We start from the raw sequence: 19,790 nt of genomic DNA on the forward strand, positions 1-19,790 counted from the left end.
ACATTCCCGGAACGGGCCAACGTTCCACCCACTTCAGGGAACAGACATAAAGGCGCAGACCCAGTTCCCCACAGTGCACAGCCCAAACACACATGTCCCTTCCCGATCCCCCGCCAGACGGACAGACAAACACGCATGCAAACCGCCCCCACCCGTCTCCACGCGCCCGGGTCCAGCCGGCAGCGGCCAGAGCCGCTCTGCAGCCGGTGCACCCGCAAGGCGAGGGCGCCTCCGCCTGAACCTTCCATCGAGACAGTCCCCTCCTTCCTCGCTTCCTTCCTTCGCTCCTTCCTTCCTTCCTTCCTTGCCCGGGAGGTAAAGGGAGTCACTGAAATGCCCAGAGCCAGCGCCTTCGCTGCGCTCGCTCGGCCGCAGGCCGGCGGCCCGGGCCTCGCGCCGCCAGCCCGCCCGGCCGCCTGCGCCGCGCGCCGCGGCCCCCTCCCCCGCTACCTGACAACGGGCCGCCGCCGGCCGCCGCAGCCGCAGCGGTGGCCGGGCCGTGCGCGCCGGTGCACGTCGCTCATTAGTAAGCAGGCACATTCCTGCCTCCAGCGCTCCCGCGCGGCCCCCTCCCCCCAGGACATTACGCAAAGCAGCCTCCCCTCATCTGCATAGATCCGCGGCCAGGGTATTCCCCGCATTTCCCCACGCGCCCGACACCCCTCCCGCGGTCTCCCCCATCCCCGCCCCCTCCGACCCTCACCCTCGGGCCACCGGGAAGGGGCTGGGGGCACACGCCGGGGAGCGGGGGACGGAGTTCGGCGGCGGCGATTCCAATATAAAGTGAAACAAGCTCCCAGCGCCGAAGGAGGCAGGAAAAACCCAGCGTCCAGGCCACTTACCGAGCCGAGGAGGGACCTAGATTCCCGCCGCTCCGCTCTCGCGGTGGCCGGTCCGCCCTCCGCGCACCCCGAGGCTGCACCCAGCACCCCAGACGCGAGACGTGGAGGAACGCTGTGAACGAGCCGGGAGACCCTCCAAGTTGCTCTGGGCTCCGTGGAGCGTCAAGGTCCAAGACACAACTTGGCAAAGACTTGTGCCACAGTCACCGAAGATGTTTGTGCGGAGACCCTCCTGCGGGGAACGACGGCGCTCGGCGGCGCCCCGCTCTCCTCCTCTCCACCCCCTCACCTCCAGCCCGCCTCCCGCCGGCCGCCCGCCTCCGGGCCGCGAGCCCCTCGGGCGGCTGTCAGCTCCCGGCCGCCGCCGGGTGACAGGGGCGGGAGGAGGGCGCGACGCGGCGGCCCGAGCCCCAGCGGGCGAGGGGGATCCTCGCAGCCGCGGCGGCCGCTCACCTGGAAAGTCACCGCTGAGGAGGAGGAGAAGGAGGACGGGGAGGAGGAGGGAGAGGAGGAGGGGGAGGAAACCCCCCTGGTGCCCTTGTTCTCGCTGCCGCGGCGGCCGCTCCTCGCCAAGGCTGAGCGTGTCTGGTGGGGGGTGTCTGGTAGCATTTCCTTAAGGACAGAGGGAGGGCGGGCGCGGAGGGAGGGAAAAGATCCCGACCGCCAGCCCAGGCTCCTCTTGCCTTTATTTATTTTTCTGACACTGTACGGAGATGGGCCCGGGGCAGGGGCCGCCGGGCTCAGGCGGGAGCCGCGAGGCCCGGGCCGCAGCTGTCTGCGTGCGGGAGCCGCAGCGGCCGCCTCCCCTCCCGGGCTGTGGACGCACCGGGTTATTCCTGGCAGCGCCTCCCCGAACAGAAGTTACTAGGAGGAGTGCGCGGCGAGGGCGGACGGGGGGAGAGGCGGAGGGAGGGAGGGAGGAAGAGGGAGAGACTCAGCCAACGACGTCATCGGATCCCCCAGCGCGTCCCAGGGAGGGAGGCTGAACCAGAAAAACCAGTCTGGAGCCAGTGAGCGAGAGAGGGATGTGCGGCGCGCGGGGCGACGGGGGAGGGAGGCGGTCGGGAGGGCAGGGCCGGGCCCCACGGCTGCCGCTGCGGGCGGGGAGATCGCGGCCGCGCACTCGCTCGGTCGGAGCGGGGAACTCCCCGGAGAGCTGGTCTCTACTTGTCATGCAAAAAAACTTGGGCATCTCTAGGAGCCTGAGAATTTCCTTTAAGGATGTGGAAACGTCCTCCGTCCCCACCCCTTCCCCATTTCCCAGAGAATCGTTGTCTGCCTTCCTGACGAACGGAATTGTATAATTAGTAGTGCCCTTAGATTTGGAACCAGTACTCCGGATCCCTGGCCTCTCCTCGCCCCCTGCCTCTACTCACAATTATGTTATCGGTCAAGAAAAGCAAAATCAGACTGTGGCTCCCGGCTGGGTTTCTGGAGCTTTGTAGGGTTTTACTAGCACTTTCCGTGCCCCTGCGGGCGCGCGAACTATTCACGTGCTCGAAACGCCCGGATTACCTTCCCTGAGGTCACTCACCAGGGTGCCCCCGGCACCCCCAGTTCGGGGACCGCGGCCCGCCCTCGCCAGGGGATTCAAATAGGTGTGGGCAGCGGCGCGAAGAGCAGCTGCCGGTTTCCTGGTGGGCCGCGCTGGAACCTCGGGGCGAGCTGCCACCTTCAGCCTGTGCGCTTCCCTCTCCACGGAAGGGACCGGAGTTGAAATCACAACCAACCCTGGGAGAGCGGGGCCGGGAGGCGGGGGAATCCCAGGCGAGTGGGAGCCGAAGCTCTGGGCTTCCTCCCCGGCCGGGCGACACCCGGGGGACACCGGGGCTCTCTCGGGCCGTTACCCTGCCTATGTGGACTGGTGTGCACCCTCGGGGGAGGTTCCTAGGGTGCCACGGTGCCCGAGCGCGACGAGTGACTGCTGGGGAGGGGGGCCGGGTCCCGGAGCGCCTCCTCCGGGTGGTCTCCCCCCCAGCGGGGACCGCGCGCAGCACCTCGCGGGCGCCCCAGCCCCCGCACCCTGCGGAGCAGAGCCGAGCGCCCAGGACGCCGCGGGCCCCAGCGGTCCTCCCCACCCCCTGGCCGCGCCGCCGCCCTGCCCGGGGCGGAGTAAACAAGAGACGCGCAAGATTTGACCTGGCGCGACCCGGCTTTCTGGCCGGGGTTCCCCCTGAGCAGGTGACTCCGTGGGAGGGGTGGAAATGAGTCTCTGGAATTCCGGGCCAAAGACAATAACTGTGGTTCTGCTTTTAAAGCAGGTATTTCACCAGCAACTGCGGAATGTTTTGTGTCTCCAGTTTCAAATTTCGCGGAAAGGGACCAAATGTGAGGACATATAAAATATCCCCTTCTCTTTTCATTAAAAATGAGTGCATTACAAAGGAAGGGCAGCCCCTTAATGCCTGCGAGAATAGCGCTGCTGGTTTCGTTTTTGTTTTGTTTTGTTTTGTTTTTCATTCTGACCCACAATCAGTGTATTTTTGAGGTCCCTATGCAATGGCGACGGTGCCGTGAAGGGCAACTCAGCAAAATAAAGCGGTGATACATTTTTTAACCGATTTTTTTCTCAGAGGAGAAAAATCTGAACAATTTGGCCTAAGTTTCACTTTGTCCTTCTCTTAGGTTGATCTCATTTAAATTCAGGGCCTACTTCCACTTAAGCAACTTCTTCTTTCATTGTATAGGTTCTTTAATATCCAACCTTTTTAAACTTAACTTGAAGCCTTTAATTTAAAAAACTGTCCCAATCATCATTTTCTTTTCAATGTATGCAGTTGCATTTTAAACATCCATTTAACACACAAAATGTGATTTTTGAAATTTTTTTCACTTTCAAACCCACCTGCTACATACTCCCAGAGAGCGTTTTATTTAATTGCTTAATAGAGAAGATTAAGCAGTTTCTTTAAGAATCCAATTTCCCTTCAACAAGCACAACAGCAGCTGCCCAAGCTCCCAGAAACTAAGCAAAGGCAAGTAGCAGGCAGCGTTTTGCTTCACTAGAATGAATGTTAGTTGAAACCTTAAATACCTCTTTAAAAGACTAGATTAAAGAGAATAATGGGAATATTAAGATACTCCGGTAGTTAGTTAAAATATTTTTTAAGGAAAACCAGGCAGATATACATCTATTTTGATGATTTGATCCCACCTTCAAAGAGGATCCCTGAAAAGAGTTTTAGTCACAATTTGACAAATTTTAAATAATTACTTTGTTTCAGAGTCATGAGGATGGAAAGAAGATAGCCTGCGTTGAGTTGAAGTAAAGTAAAAATATTATGAATATGTGTAACTAGGTGACATCCTCTCTGCTGGGAAGAATCCTTTTTTTTTTTTTTTTTTTTTTTCTGGTGACAGGTTCTTGCTCCATCACCCAGGCTGGAGTGCAGTGGCATGATCTTGGCTCACTGCAGCCTCTCCCTTTCAGGCTCAAGCAATCCTCCCACCTCAGCCTCCCGAGTGGAGGGGGAGCCACTGCAGATCTGGAGCAAATCAGCACCAGCCACTCCAGAGCCTGACCTACATAGGACTCAGAAAGCATTGTCTATTGTGATTGATTATTCCTGTGTTCAGTCCCAATGGCCTATTGATTGGGGGTTTCTCTCCAAAAGGCTGCATGGCTTTTCTTCTCTAAGTGAATCTCCTTTATAACCCATATTTTATGTCTATATACCAAACATGCTATCCATATTTAGTCAATGTCCAGTTGCTTGCATGTAAGGGCAATAGAGTAATCAGAAAACTCTTCCCAGAAAGCCCCCGAAGACAAAACTAGTACTGGTAGAAAACTGGGCATGCAGCTCTAAGAAACTCTATGGGAAGTGAGGCTGGGTGGGGCACAGCTGCCCCAGCCTGGCACCCATATGGAGCATCAGCAAGGAAGTAGGAACTTTCTTTTCATCATGCATCCTTCTTATCACTTCTCAGTTTCAAAGGGAAAGAAAATTTGGTAATCTGCATTTTGAGACATTAAGAAAATAAAATAATTAATGGCTTCATGGTTATATGGCATTTTTCAGAGTATTGTCAGAAAATCATTTCGAACTGAAATTTTCATTCAAAAATATTTATTGAATGCCGGCTATGTGCTGAAGATTCTTAAGATACATCAGTGAACAAATCAAAGTTCCCTGCTTTCTTGGAGCTTGCATTCCAGCGGGAGGAGAGGATTTGGAGGAAGAATGGGATAGACAATAAATGTAAGTAATAAATTATATAGGACTTTGAAAGGTAAAATGTTTGGGGGAAAAACATAAAATAGGGTAAAGGATATAGGTGGGGTGAGGGTTGTCCTGATGCTGTATTAAATAGGAACATCAGAGTAAGACTTGTTGAAAAGGGAGATTTCTGCCATGGTTTGAAGGAAATACCTGGAGATATCTGGAGGACAGAGCTTTTCACATGGAGGGAACAGCCAAGATACAGCTCCAATACCTGGAATTTTTATAGACATCAATGGGAATGGTGTGGCTAGAATAAAATGAGACAGCCAGTGAACAGAAGGCCTCTCAGGTCACCGTAAGAATTCCAGAAAAGCTTCATAAAAGGCAAATTTTGGGCCTTTATCACTCAGCCCCATGGAATCTGAATCTTTGTGGGCCCAGGACTCTGCATTTTTAACATGTAAAGCAATTGTTACTTATGTATTCTAAAGCACAAGACCTCCTGCCACAGAGCATGGGACCTGATATATCCAGGCAGGAGAACTGGGTACCAGGAGACACTGTACATGAAGTTTCCAGAACCAGCCATGTCCATCTTACTAATCAAGACTCTCTCTGTTAAATCTGCAACTCAAATGACTTTAAGGAAAAATGGATTTCATTGATTCACATAACCATCACTCAAGGACTAACTTTCAACATAGTGAGATCCTGAGGCTCAAATATTATTACCCGGTAAGGCCTTCTCCATCTCTGTTCTTATCTCTCTGCTTCACTTTGCCCTTCAGGCAAACATTCTGCAGGTTGGTGGCAGCATTCCCAGATTATCTTCTTCCTAGATAAGCAACACAGCAGGAAAAGACCTTCTTTCCAGATAGCTCAGGCAGCCTTAGTCATGTCATTGCACCTGAACCACTTGCAGGTCTTGGGTGGAGTGATCTGATTTGGTCATGACTAGACCTGAAGAGGAGAAGGTCCTCATGGGGAAAAAAAAAAAAAAAAAAGCTGTTCCCAAAAGAAAGGAGTCTTGCAGACCAGGGGGCGGAAAGTATCCACTATATCCCTTAAGTCTTTTGGCTTAGGTTTCCCTATTTTTTATAACTAGGGATTTAGTCAAGATGATGTGCCTAATTTCCTATAAATTCTATATAAATCATTGTAATAAAGTCCCCCCATAAAATTGTGCAAAATGAATTAACTGGCATGCCACTCTCTCAGATAAATTTATGGTACTATAAATAAGACATTAAAGGGGTTACCTGCTATGGGATTCTGATGAATAAATAGAATATAGCCTTAGGTCTTAATAAAGAGTAATGACTTAGAACTGCCTTTCTGATGGATCTCTTGCTTCCTACTTATCTGCTTTAATTAGTATATGGAGGAAAATTAAGCAGTGTCATGATTCATGTGATGTTAAGAATACATAGGTCCCCAAAAATTAGTTGAAGAAAAGAATTTGGAGGGAAAATCTGCATGTCTGTTGAATCGTCAATAGGATACAAATCCAATCATTCTAATGTAGACAAGTCTTTTGATCCCACTATACATCCTTTGGCTCAGGAGTGGAGGGTGATAGTGGTAATGAAGGACCGATCAGCCAGAGCCATACTGTGATTCAAGATGACATCTGTTAGGATTGAAGGATAAAGTGCTTACCCTCATGGGTTTTACAAGGCACACAGAGCATGCAGACATCCAACTAACCAAATGTCACCCTGTATTCCAGAGTTGCTCGGAATATATTCCAAAGACCACTTGTAGCAATATCTCTTGCAATGCTCAATTAAAAGCCTGGGCTACCCCCTAGATTTATAAAATCAAAATCCTCAAAATTAGGGCCTGGGAAACTCCATGTGAATAAGATCCCCGATGACTTCTATTCTCATTAAAGTCTGAGAAGCATCCCTTTACATACAATTTCTAGCTCACTTTGTCCCTCAGATTGAATGGGGGCTGGCTGGCTGAGAACTCCCTTCTTCCCTGTTTGTCACATTCTTCAAATTTCACGTGATCCTTTATGACAAGTTGGTCTCTTTTTCTCCTTTAAAGATATTCATGTGGCTCTTATTTTAACCAGATTTCTTCTGTACAAAAAATATGTCAGGAAAGAAATGATCCCATGAATGATCCAGCCCTGGGGATGAGAAGGGTGCAGGGGAAGGAGGGAATGGTGGGCACGGAATATACGAATGCATAGAGGGCGCGAGGGGAGGGAGAGGTCAGCTGTGGGGATGAGCAAGATGCAAGCAAACTTTGATGGTTTTCTAGCTTAGCTTAGGACCAACCCTGCCCATAGTTTATGGAAGGATACTGCATGTTTCTTCAGTCCAATCTGCTGTGAAATGCTTGTTATATTCTAGAGAATGCTCAAGGAATGCCCAGTCAGGCCTTTATTCTGAGGAAGCTCACTGATGTCTCACAGATAACCTTCTTAAAGATGAACAAATATCAGATACAGGAGCAGCCAGTAAGACTGTCCAGGATTACCAATGCCTGAACTGCCACCTTAGATACAGGGAAATGTAGGCTTATGATACAATGTTAGCAATTTAAGAGCACCACATTAACATCATCCCCCATCCTACTTTCTTCCATCACCCTCCCCCAACTCCAAAATTGGTTAGAACTGAAATTCCTCCACTTAACAGTCACTGCTTGGGGTTAAGGCTCTGCCTCTGTAGAAATCTTCCCGTACAAGCTAACTACAAGTGGTAGGCTCTTCTTATCCTAAGCTCTTAATCAGTCATTAACTTCTTATGAAAGATTAATTTATTAGATTGCCTTACAGAGTGACAGCTAGCTTAGTGATCAAACTGATTTATCTTGACAAAGCATAGAATGGAGATAATATAGGAAGGTCTGGAGGGGGAGTGAGACAGAGAGATCCAAAGCTTGGACCAGACTGACATGGGCACACTAGGGCAACTAGGAATAGGATACAAATTGAAGGGGAAAGGTGTGAAACGATGAAGGGAAAGGCAAACGCAAAAGCCACTGTCTTTGGACACAGAGGATGCCTGTGCTCAGGGCCTGTGGAGTGGGGCATGATGATCCAGGCTTTTTAGGCAGAAGCTGGGTGGCTCTGTCAGCCCAGAGTGCAGGTGCTAGTCCTGACTCTGAGCTAGCGGGAGACCTGGGTCCCCTCTCTTAGCCTCCACTTCCTCATTCAAGCAACTAGGGGATTCCCTTTCAATCATAAGATTCTGAAATAGAAACTCCTAACAATCTAGCAGGGACAGAGAAGGGGAAAAGAAGAGAGGGAGGCATGAAAAAGAAAAATAGCAGAGAGAGCTTATCAAAGTCCAAATTCCTCCCAAGCTCTTGCAGTGGTTTCTTAGGGTAAAACATAAATTTCCAATGTTAAAGAAATGAGAGTACATGGGCAAGGTATAGTAGGGGGTTTCAGAGAATAGTGATTTTGGTTTAAACATAGGCTATATAAATTTGGCATACTATATGGTCCGAAAGGAGAAGCGTTGTTTCTCATTGTCAGCCATAAAACACTTTGGGAAAAATGTATTTTTCTTGATTAGTACCTAAGTCCTTGAACTTTTAGAATTCCTGAGAACAGTGACTTGACCCACTCCCAATTTATCTATTGATGTGATATCTGGTAGATCTGACCCTCTTTTATATAGGTTTGAACCTTGAGTTTAGGGTAGTAAAACAAAAAAAGTAAAATAGTTGTCACTAAGTTTGTGCAGTGATTCAGGCCCTGACCTAGAAATTATATGTAAAATAAGGTAGCAAGTTGGAAGCATCGAAGAGAAAATGAGCAAGTAGAGGATATTATTTCTGATCCAGAGGAGGCTGCTCTCAGCAAACAAGAAGATAACAAAATTATGCAGATGCGAAGCAGGGTGGGTTTACTTAGCTGTTACTGGGGTAACAACAGAGTCATCGCTGAAATAATCCCACTCAGTCATCCATGTGCTTCATAAACCCAAACAACAGAGAGACTAGTGTGTCATAGCAATACACCTTGTGTAAGAGGAAGAAGAAATCCATGATCTGTTTAGAAAGATTTGCACAGGAGAAAATTAAACTCATTTTAAAATACTTTGTACTCAAAATATTCAGCCACTTGAAAAGTCCCCTTATATAGATGAGTCTGCTCCCAGTGATTCTGGTGAGTATAATGTATTAGGAAGTTAATTATTTGTTTTGTATCTTTTTTAAAAAGATTTTTTATAAAGGAACTACTTACTCAGTATGTCATTTCCCATTGACATTCTTGTATATGTAGATGAATATGTCAATACCTTCTGTTCTGGCAAACTGATATGCTCCAGGTCCCTCTAGTGCCCTATAATTTTATCTATCATTGTTTTATAATCATTTCTCCTGCACTCTACTGTGGGATCCTCAACTAGCAGAGGCTGTGCCAATGATGTATTGTGTTGAATAAATATTCTGAGTTTTTAAGTTAATATTTTACTCCTGCCTTCTTATCTTTTCCTGGGCTCTGTGTGTAGGCCACGACACTGCCACTGAAATGTGTGAGACTCCCTTTGCTAAATAACATCTTAAATAATGACACGGGTGGGGGCATATTTCAAAACAGACCTGTGTTTAAAAAAAAATGTAGCCTTGGGGAGGCAACCTGTTCTGTTGTTATTACATCTGTCCTTCAAGGCAATGATTATTTTCCAACAATCAGATTTTTGCCAGGCGCTTAAGGATGCCTGACCCAAGCACCACTGGTACAAAGCTCACCAAACGTCATGTGTGTAAATCAGCCCTTGATGAATTGACAAAAAGGCATTTTTAAAAATGTAGGTACCCAATATAAACAAATCATAAGTGTACAATTATGTTAATTTTGGCATATATTTGTGTGAGTGTAACCATTACTCTGAAAAAGATGGAGAATATTTTTAAGATTACAGAAGGCTCCCTTGTACCCCTTCCCACAGGGTACCCCTGAGATAATCTGTGTTCTAACTTCTAAGTTAGTTAGAAGGTTGGTTTTTGAGCAAAGATATGTTTGTATATATGCATGCATGCATGTATGTATGTATTGATTTTTAAAATAATGTTTCAAGTAACCATATGCTAGACCAAGTTTGATGACTAGAGATATAGGAGTGATCAAGGCAGATGAGGCCTTTAGGTTCTATGGGCCTCACATTCTGGTTGGGAAACTGATAGAAAACAAATTTACCAAGAAGACAGTTTCAAATCATGAAAAATGGCAAGAATAAAACAAGGTAATTGTTAGGCAATAAATAGGTAGGTAGGGTAATATTGGATGAGGGTAGAGGTATCTGCAGGGTTGACATTTGGGCTGAGAACTGACTGAGGAAAAGCAGGGAAAAAGAGCCCCAGAAAGAGAGAACTGAAAGTGCAAAAGCCCTAAGCCAAGGAGAAGCTCTGTGCCATGAGGAACTGAAAGGCCAGTGTGGCTGGACATGGAAGGTGGGGACTGCGGAGGAGAAAGTCCTAAGAGATAATGTAAGAAAGGCAATCAGAATGAACCAGAGGAAGATGCCTTTGTGGGCTAGATGAGTTTTGAGGAAGGGGTAGACATTGGGGATTTAAAGATACGTATATCTTATGTGTTCTATTAATTAATTGAAAAAACTTTTCTCAGAAACAACCTTCAGTACATAAGTAATGGCTGCTGGATGTAACTTGCAATTGGGTGGCAGGTCGGCAAGGAAAGAATTCCAAACAGAGGACTTTCTGAAAGCCTAATTATACATATTGAATGTAACAAAAGGAAAATAGTTTTTAAGGTAGCAAATCCTAAAGAGAATTTAGATAATTTGGGTGCTATTCCTCACATTTTTCTATGGTTAATTAGAGAGAGCTGGGAAACACACAATGCTGCCCACAGCTCTGCCAACCCATTATGGGCACTTCTAATTTCAGATAAATGAAGCCCTTGGTTACCACCCCCAGCTTGTCTTAGAACATCCATTGTATTATCAGAGTAGATGAGTAAAAATAATAGCCTTCTGAATATCTATAAAGGGTACCTTTCTCTTATTAGTGGATAGTTACAAGTTTAAATCACGTCTCCATGTTAATGAAGCAACTCCCAAATTTACTTTGCTCTTGAAAATCTAGTTTTTCAAATTTTCTGTTTTACACAGAAAATGTGATATTTAGCTGAGTGGCTTAGTTAGAGCATCAAGTGCTAGATGTATGTAACTTTAAAAATTAGTAATTATGTGAAATCTTAAGGTGTATATACAGATACATATACATATCTTCTCTCTAGTAAATATCATGTGCACTTGTCATTTTAAAAGACATTTCTAGCAGTATAATATATTGATCCAAGTATATATAAACTTAAAGATATGCTAAAAACAAATAACCAATTGGCATCTTTAAAATTCACCCTTCGTTAAATGAAACCATGATGCTATTTTTAAAAAACGATAATATACGTATAATGAGAAATATTAAATGTCATGGCCTGGGCAAAATTTGAAGAAGAAAAAACATCAAGACAATTGCATTTAAGTTTCCAACAAGAGATTACATCACTAGGTTTATTGTATTTATACAAATATAGTAGCAATGTTTGCAAAATGCCCCTAAAATTCCTGAGTGAAAGCAGAAATGAAGAACATTTGCATGATTATAAATATCAGGATATCTGAAAGCATAAAGGTATTTGGTTGAGTTTTTCCATTGTCATCCAGATTTGATTACATAGAACAAATTGAAGGCCTCTTATTGTTTTGGTGTTTCAGAACTTAGCAAAGGGGCTGCCACTCATTTCGGCTTTTTTCTTAATTATTCCAGGGTTCCATGAACTGCTTCCTCTGACATGAGATCTAACAAGGCTAAAGACTAAAATGCAGCTGTTTACAGCGTAAGTAGGAGGCCGTCCCGTGCAGTGCAAAATCAACAGAGAGGAGACAGTCCTATGCCTTCGAGAGACAGTCTGCTGATACTGTCATGATGTCTAGTGACAGGCCAGAGATCAAAACCCAACACCCTCATTTACCTGACAGTGATTTGGCCAATCCCTTAACATCTCTAAGAGCTTCATTTTTCTACAAAATTGAGACAATAGTATTTGTTTCATAGTGTTACTGTCAGGGTTAAATGTTATACATTAAGCATTTAATATATGCTGCTTGTTTATCTAAATATTCATGGTCAGGCACTAACTTCTTATGTGACTCTGAGCAATGCATTCATCTCTGTACCTGTTTCCTCATCCATAAATTGGGAGTTGAACAAGGTGAGCCCTAAGTTTCGTTCCAACTTCAATATTCTATAATTCTTGCAACTTATATGGCCTCAGTTTTCTTATCTTTATAATGGGCATAAGAGTACCTACCTCACAGAATTTTTGAGAGGATAAAATGAATTAAGACAGGTAGAAAATTCTTAGAACAGTGCCTGCCACATTGGAAGTGCTTAATATGTATTAGCTGTGATGATGCTGCTAATGATGAAGATGATAATGACCCTATTTGCAGATAGTATGGCAGCCATAAAACATTCAGTATCAGATTGATTACATTCTCTTATTTTCTGAGTCAATGCCAGAGCTACCAAGATTTTATTCTTTAAAGGTTCTTCAAGACTAAATTCTTTTTACATGATATGATTATTACACATTGTATGTCCGTATCAGACCAGCCTGGCCAACAAGGTGAAACCCCATCTCTAAAAATACAAAAATTAGCAGGGCATGGTGGCACGCACCTGTAGTCCCAGCTACTCGGGAGGCTGAGGCAGGAGAATCACTTGAACCCGGGAGGCAGAGATTGCAGTGAGCTGAGATCGTGCCACTGCACTCCAGCCTGGCAGAGTGAGACTCCATCTTAAAAAATAAATAAATAAATAAATAAATAAATCTCATGTACTCCATAGATATGGGGTACCTACTATGTACTCACAAAAATTAATTTTTTTTTAGAAAAGCCTAAGCTCATTTGCTTCTTAGTAAGAATTATGTTAAGATTTCCCAGTGTAGATACCCTAGGCTGCTAATTTTTTTTCTTTTGTTATCAGTATCTTAAGAAATTAATTGGCCCGGGAGTGGTGGCTCATGCCTGTAATCCCTGCAGTTTGGAAGGCCAAGATGGGAGGATTGTTTGAGGCCAAGAGTTCAAAACCAGCCTGGGCAACATAGTGAGATACTATCTGTATATAAAATAAAAAAATTAGTGAGGCATGGTGTCATAAGCCTGTGGTCCCAGCTACTTGGGAGGCTGAGGTGAGAGGATTGCTTGAGCCCAGGAGGTCAAGGCTGCAGTGAGCTGTGATGGTGACACTGCACTCCAGCCTGGGCTATAGAGCAAGACCCTGTCACCCTCCTCAAAAAAAAAAAAAAAAAGCAATTAATTGATTTATTTATGGCCATTCTCTCTTTTTGTGAGCTGGATATGTGTTCACTTTCATTCTAAAAACGTACAGCCCCCAAAGCCCACACATGTTGTCAAAGCTCACTACATTTACCTAGAGAGTTTCCTGTAGTCTCCTCTTTCAAGTATTTTAAATAATGCGTAATTTCTTCATGTAACTGAAACATGTTAATGTTGAGTTGGCACAGGAAGAAAAGTTTTGATTTACTCAGAACTGGGATTTGTGTGGGTCATTTCCTAGTCCTCCTAAGTATTTAACAAATGTAAAATGTAACACACAATTAAATAAGCTACCCAAGCCAAATGAACTGGTGAGTGCATTATAAATAGCAACCAAAATTATTCTTCAGTTGTTAACTGGTATGTCCTGATTTAATAATGAATTACATCATTTGACAAATGAGATAAGACTTCCACCTTTAGCTTTCTGATCCAAACTTCTAATAGTTGAAATGTATTATTACCATCTGGTGTCTGGCCTCTGAAATGCCCTGGCGATATCTGCCTCATTTCAAGTAGTTGGGGCTTGCATATGCCAGCAAAGCACTCTCCGAAGTGTCTTGATTGGCAGGCCCAGAGAGAAGGCTAAGAACCGAATGAACCATGGAGATATAGCTCCAGCTCTGTAGAAGTTTCCTCTGGTTCAAGGCAGACTCATTTTCTTAGTTTGTGCAGCAAAAAAATTGTCATGATCGAAGTTGTTTTTATTTTGGATCTCAATCCTGAAGGATGCAATTCCTATACTTACCAAGAATGTTTCCATCTGTTTTAAATTATTTCACTCCTTTTACAAACTGGCAATAATTTTAACACCTTTTATTTTCAGTGAAAATAATTCGAGAATGAAGCTGAGAATGATACATAAGCCTAGAGTTTTAACTCAGTGAAGTAATATGATTCTGACAGTTCTTTATTTTTTCCACATTGTGTTAGATTCCTAGTAAAAAGGGAAGATGAATCTTATTGCTTTCAAAAACCTGACAATATGGTATGTAGGACAGAATGAACATACATAGAACAATATCCAATAACACAGATGAAGGTGTCAAAGCCATTGCCAGACAGAGTGGTGCAGATTGTGAGATCAGTTTTCTTGGTAAGTGTTATGGACTGAATGTTGGTATTCTCTAACATTCATAGATTATAATCTAATCCCCAATGTGATGGTAGCACTATCTGGGGGTGAGACCTTTGGGAAGTAAAGGTCTTTTTCTCTCCACACCTGACCAAAAGTAGGAGCTCAACAAATGTATGTGCACTGAAATGGAATGGGGGCAAACAGCCTGGTGGTATAGTACAAAGCAAAATTTGGTTATGGTAGGAGCAGTACAGATACATCTGGATCACAATCTAAATTCTCTCCAGGGACCAAATACATAGATTTACCCCTTGGGTTATTGGTCTGGTAGACTCTTAATTTTTAATAGGGTTTATATAATCTAGACTTCTTATAACCTCTGCCCCACTGGATATAGGTATTACTCAGTTGAAGTTAAAAATTGAATATAGGATTATATGCAATGCTTTATCTATAACTTTCTTGTAAGGATAAACTCAGTACATCTCTGGTTTTCTAATATTTTGGAGGAAATGTTACAAATAGGTAAGGAAAGTTTGAGCCTCATTTACGCATGAGGGTGGACCCCTCCTGAATGAGATTAATGTCCTTATAAGAAAAGGCCAGAGAGCTAGCTCACTCTCTTTCAGCATGTGAGGACACAAGAAGCCCAGAGTCTGCAACCTGAAAGAGGGCCCTCACTAGAACCCAATCATGCTGACGCTGTGATCTTGGACTTTCAGGCTCCAGAACTGTGAGAAATAAATTTCTGTTGTTTATAAGCCATCCATTTCATGACAATTTGTTATAGTGGCCTGAACAAAGACAATAGGTATAAAAGAGAATTGATAAAGATGAAATTTAGGAATACAATTAGAAGTGAAATGCAAATAACAAGAGGGTGACCCCGGAGTAGAAAAGTGTCTGTGTCTGGTAGATTTGAATAGTTTACAAATGCCAAGCCTGTGCAAAATAGGAGTTACCAATATTAATGGCTGCATCATTACAAGGTGTATCCAAAAGACACTTAAGATTAAGTCTGTGTTTGTCAGTGGGGAGGTGAGAGTAGGAAATGTTAAATAACCTGCCCTTTGTCACTCAGCCAACAAGTAAGAGAGCAGGGAATCAAGTTCAGATCTAAGTCCTCTAAAGTTATTCCCCAAACTCCTCACAGCTTCACTTAATAACCATTTCCTGCTTTGGTTGACTTTACAAAGATGACCATACATTTGAGAGCAAAAGGGGAAGCTATGAATCATTACATCTGGACAAATGGCATGAATCAAGATCATCCACTGCCAACTAGAGTGTATGTTCATCTTCTGTCTATATATCTTCATTCCCAGACATCTACCAGACATCCAGTGACTTATCTGAGAAGTACACTTGGAGGTCAGTTTCTTGGAGTAAATTGATCAAAGTGTTAAAATTCTGGAAAGTTATTGTATTTTAAAATAGTTCACACAAAAAAATAGTACAATGAAATGAATCACTATTAGTGGAATTTCAGGCCCTCAGGTACCTGATAATAAGAACTCTTTCAAAACAACATAACTTTCCTGGTACCTGTCAAATCACAATTTCTATATGAGATATGGCCAGCTGGGTATTCAAGGATAATTGGTCAGCTACTGTGATGATTAATATGGAGTGTCAACTTGTTTGCATTGAAGGATGCAAAGTATTGTTCCTGGGTTTGTCTGTGAGGGTTGTATTAGTCTGTTTTCATGACACTGATAAAGACATATCTGAGACTGGGCAATTTACAAAAGAAAGAGGTTTATTGGACTTTCAGTTCCACATGGCTGGGGAGGCCTCACAATCATGGTGGAAGGTGAAAAGCACATCTCACATGGCGGCAGACAAAAGCAGAGAGCTTGTGCAGGGAAACTCTCATTTTGAAAACCATCATATCTCATGACACTTATTCACTATCATGAGAACATCATGGGAAAGACCTGCTCCCATGATTCAATTACCTCCCACTGGGTCACTCCTACAACACGTGGGAATTCAAGATAACATTTGGGTGAGGATACAGCCAAATCATATCAAGGGTGCTGCCAAAGGAGATTAACATTTGAGTCAGTAGACTGGAAGAGGCAGACCCACCCTCAATCTGAGTGGTTACCATCTAAGCATCTGCCAATGCAGCTAGAATAAAGCAAGCAGAAGAAAGTGGAATGAGAAGACTTGCTGAGTCTTCTGGTCATCATCTTTTCCCCATGCTGGATGCTTCTTGCCCTTGAACATCAGACTCCAAGTTCTTCAGCTTTCAGACTCTTGGACTTAGAGCAGTGGTTTGCTAGGGGCCCTCAGGCCTTCAGCCACAGACTGAAGCCTGCACTGTCGACTTCCCTACTTTTGAGGTTTTGGTACTTGGATTGGCTTCCTTGCTCCTCAGCTTACAGCTGGCCTATTATGGGACTTCACCCTGTGATCGTGAGTCAATTATCCTAATAAACTCCCCTTCATATATACATATATATTATTAGTTCTTACCTCTAGCGAACCCTGACTAATACAGATTTCTAGATGTACAGATGGATTGAGAGGCAAACACTCTAAATTAACAAGGCAGAAATGAAAGAGCTGTTCTGCCCAAGATCTTCAGCACTGCTCAGACCTCTATAAGAATTTCTTATCCAGTTCAAAACTTATCAACTTAAGAAAAATATAGAAAATTTGTAAAGCATTCAGAAGAAACTAAAGACTAAAGCAAAATGATATGTTCAAATACTTAACACTGCCAAAATGTAATGCATTTCAATAAAGTGATATATGTCCTTAACTCACACAAATTAATAAATGTCTAATAGACATACATATGGGAAGTGAATATCAAATGCCTGTGTACTATTTGTATAAAATCTAAGTTAAAACTCATTTCCATCCCAAAGATGTGTGATATGTAAAATAATATTCTACGTATTTTGTTTAATTTTGGGGGGTCATTTAAGATTTTTTTATTTGCAGAAAAAAGATGCTACAAACAAAATTAATGGGAAAAAACAAAAATTAGTACCAAAAGAGGAAACGAGGACAAGGAAAAACACGAGCACATAGAAAAATGTAAAAATACTCAAGCCAGGCTCAGAGAACCAGCATCCCTGACAGCAAGTGTTGTTAAACATCCACGTGGGTTGCTAAGGAAGGTTAGGGAATCTCCCTTTCCCAGAAGTCTTTAAAAATAGGATAACATCTGTTTGGATGGGATAATGGTGGTACTGCTTGACTTGGCAGCTTCTTAAGCAAACCTATGGTTTGGTAATTCTACCATTTCTATTTCTGATTTGAAAAGTAACAAATAACTTCAGTTCACCTAGAAAATTGGGCCTTATAATGACTTGTAATATTGTCTTATAAAACTATTTTCATTGTCATTAATAGTGCAAAGGTAGATAATTGAGGTTTTCAGAGTATACTTGAATTTGCAGCCAAGGCTCAAACTTTCCTTATCTATTTGTAACATTTCCTCCAAAATATTAGAAAACCAGAGATGTACTGAGTTTATCCTTACAAGAAAGTTATAGATAAAGCATTGCACATAATCCTATATTCAATTTTTAACTTCAACTGAGTAATGCCTGTATTCAGTGGGGCAGAGCTTATAAGAAGTCTAGATTATATAAACCCTATTAAAAATTGGAGTCTGCCAGACCAATAACCCAAGGGGTAAAACATATATATTTGGTCCCTGGAGAGAATTTAGACTGTGATCCAGATGTATCTGTACTCCTCTTACCATAACCAAATTTTGCTTTCTACTATACTACCAGACTGTTTGCCCCCATTCCTTTTCACTGCACATATATTTGTTGAGCTCCTACTTTTGGTCAGGTGTGGAGAGAAAAAGCCCACAGTCCCTGCCCTTGAGGAACACATAATCCAAAAAAAAATGCATGGGTGGCTCCAGGTGTTGTAGGGTCTTAGGCAAGTATAATTTTGGACATGCATTTTAAGAAAAAGAATACAAAATTACAAATGCAGAATTACTAATAAAAGTGAATATTTATTGTATAGAGAAAATTAATCACAACAAATTACAAGTTTTAGCATTCTCACAAATGCCAGAAATACCACAAAATCTCAGAAAAAAACCTATATTTTGTATTAATTAGCTGACTGATCACATGTATAATTCTACGTGTTCTACTTTTGGTTGCATATTGTTGACCACATGAGAAAAATTTCTTTATTTACTTATTCAGATGGAGTTTCGCTCTGTCGCCCAGGCTGGAGTGCAGTGGCGCTATCTCATCTCACTGCAACCACTGCCTCCCAGGTTCAAGCGATTCTCCTGCCTCAGCCTCCCGAGTAGCTGGGACTACAGGGGCATGCCACCAGGCCCAGCTAATTTTTGTATTTTTAGTAGAGACGGGGTTTCACCATGTTGGCCAGGATGGTCTCAATCTCTTGACCGCATGATCCACCCGCCTCGGCCTACAAAAGTGCTGGGATTACAGGCGAGAGCCACCACGCCAGGCCAAGAATTGTTTATATTATTTTCTATACAGAGAAAACAGTGATAATTTATTCAGTCATTCCTTTGGCATGATTGAAATTTGTTTTCTTTCTGGCTCACAACTCTTTAATAATTATAAGTAAGTTTTCAGGATTGTTGTCAAGTACAGGAAAACTTCAGTCAAATTTCTTTCATATATGAACTGCAAGAGCTATAAGATTTCAGGGCATTGATAATTTTCTTGCATGTAAGTAATTTTAAATACTCTTTCAATTGATGTTACTCATTAACCAGCTTGTCACTGGTGTCCTTGTTGTAATGGTGTAGTGTGAGTTCAATTTTATCTCTGTCAATGTCAGGATTGTGTATCAAATTTGAAAGAAATTTAAGTATTTTCTCAAAGAGTTCATGTGATTCAGTCCTCTGGGTTAAATGTGTTATCAAAAACTAAAAAGCCCATTCAGTACTTCCCTCTTCCTGTTAATGAATTATTGCTCTTTGTATTATCTAAAAATATTTCTGTTACAATTTACTTCTTGATGTCAAAGTGATTTCTATTTGACTTTATCTCTCAATTGTTTTTTCATATCCTATCAAATTTCATCTGCATTTTCTCCCAGTTTCTTATTACATTAATTCATAGATGACAAAAGAGTTACTCTTCATATATGCCCATATTAGGAGTCATTGATTTCTGTGGGTTTTTAATTGAAAAGATCCAAAACATCTATGCAAATTCCAGTTAAAATGAAGTATTTATGTCTTATTAATTTTTTGAATAATCTGTTCACTTCTTGTTTTTGTTACTCTTCCATGACTTTAAAAATATATTTCAGGGTCATTAAATTGCACTGTACAATGTTTTAAGACTTGAGAAGCTTTAGTGTGGGCAAACCAAACCATGTTGTTACCTTTAGACTC

At 43.0% G+C, this 19,790-nt stretch overlaps 1 protein-coding gene and 1 long non-coding RNA gene across 8 annotated transcripts in view, besides 7 other annotated features; one reads left to right on the plus strand and one right to left on the minus strand.

Moving 5' to 3' along the window:
• The window catches only part of HIVEP2 (HIVEP zinc finger 2), a 194,265-nt gene extending 193,180 nt beyond the window's left edge, over nt 1–1,085 (minus strand). For 3 of the 7 annotated variants that reach the window (NM_006734.4, NM_001438451.1, XM_047418712.1), the window contains exon 1: nt 451–528. The gene's annotated coding sequence lies outside the window, so the exon portion shown is untranslated. Of the gene's footprint in view, nt 1–152; nt 529–842 lie in introns of those variants that run through there. The other 4 variants (NM_001438449.1, NM_001438450.1, XM_024446419.2 and 1 more) reach the window with 3 other exon arrangements.
• Nucleotides 158–227: a silencer, noted in NCBI's record as "silent region_17617". NCBI's record gives its function as "represses an Ori minimal core promoter by ATAC-STARR-seq in GM12878 lymphoblastoid cells {active_cell/tissue: GM12878}" and the evidence as "EXISTENCE:reporter gene assay evidence [ECO:0000049][PMID:35858748]".
• Nucleotides 368–467: a silencer, noted in NCBI's record as "silent region_17618". NCBI's record gives its function as "represses an Ori minimal core promoter by ATAC-STARR-seq in GM12878 lymphoblastoid cells {active_cell/tissue: GM12878}" and the evidence as "EXISTENCE:reporter gene assay evidence [ECO:0000049][PMID:35858748]".
• Nucleotides 668–897: a silencer, noted in NCBI's record as "silent region_17619". NCBI's record gives its function as "represses an Ori minimal core promoter by ATAC-STARR-seq in GM12878 lymphoblastoid cells {active_cell/tissue: GM12878}" and the evidence as "EXISTENCE:reporter gene assay evidence [ECO:0000049][PMID:35858748]".
• Nucleotides 1,128–1,757: a silencer, noted in NCBI's record as "silent region_17620". NCBI's record gives its function as "represses an Ori minimal core promoter by ATAC-STARR-seq in GM12878 lymphoblastoid cells {active_cell/tissue: GM12878}" and the evidence as "EXISTENCE:reporter gene assay evidence [ECO:0000049][PMID:35858748]".
• Nucleotides 1,808–2,027: a silencer, noted in NCBI's record as "silent region_17621". NCBI's record gives its function as "represses an Ori minimal core promoter by ATAC-STARR-seq in GM12878 lymphoblastoid cells {active_cell/tissue: GM12878}" and the evidence as "EXISTENCE:reporter gene assay evidence [ECO:0000049][PMID:35858748]".
• HIVEP2-DT (HIVEP2 divergent transcript) lies at nt 1,841–18,631 on the plus strand. Its single transcript, XR_001744397.3, has 3 exons — nt 1,841–5,044; nt 5,500–5,743; nt 11,771–18,631. It is a non-coding gene; the product is annotated as an HIVEP2 divergent transcript (long non-coding RNA).
• Nucleotides 2,608–3,017: a silencer, noted in NCBI's record as "silent region_17622". NCBI's record gives its function as "represses an Ori minimal core promoter by ATAC-STARR-seq in GM12878 lymphoblastoid cells {active_cell/tissue: GM12878}" and the evidence as "EXISTENCE:reporter gene assay evidence [ECO:0000049][PMID:35858748]".
• Nucleotides 3,058–3,107: an enhancer, noted in NCBI's record as "active region_25189". NCBI's record gives its function as "activates an Ori minimal core promoter by ATAC-STARR-seq in GM12878 lymphoblastoid cells {active_cell/tissue: GM12878}" and the evidence as "EXISTENCE:reporter gene assay evidence [ECO:0000049][PMID:35858748]".
• Nucleotides 18,632–19,790: the final 1,159 nt, after the last annotated feature.

Source organism: Homo sapiens, chromosome 6, assembly GCF_000001405.40.
Source record: "Homo sapiens chromosome 6, GRCh38.p14 Primary Assembly".
Taxonomy (NCBI): domain Eukaryota; kingdom Metazoa; phylum Chordata; class Mammalia; order Primates; family Hominidae; genus Homo; species Homo sapiens.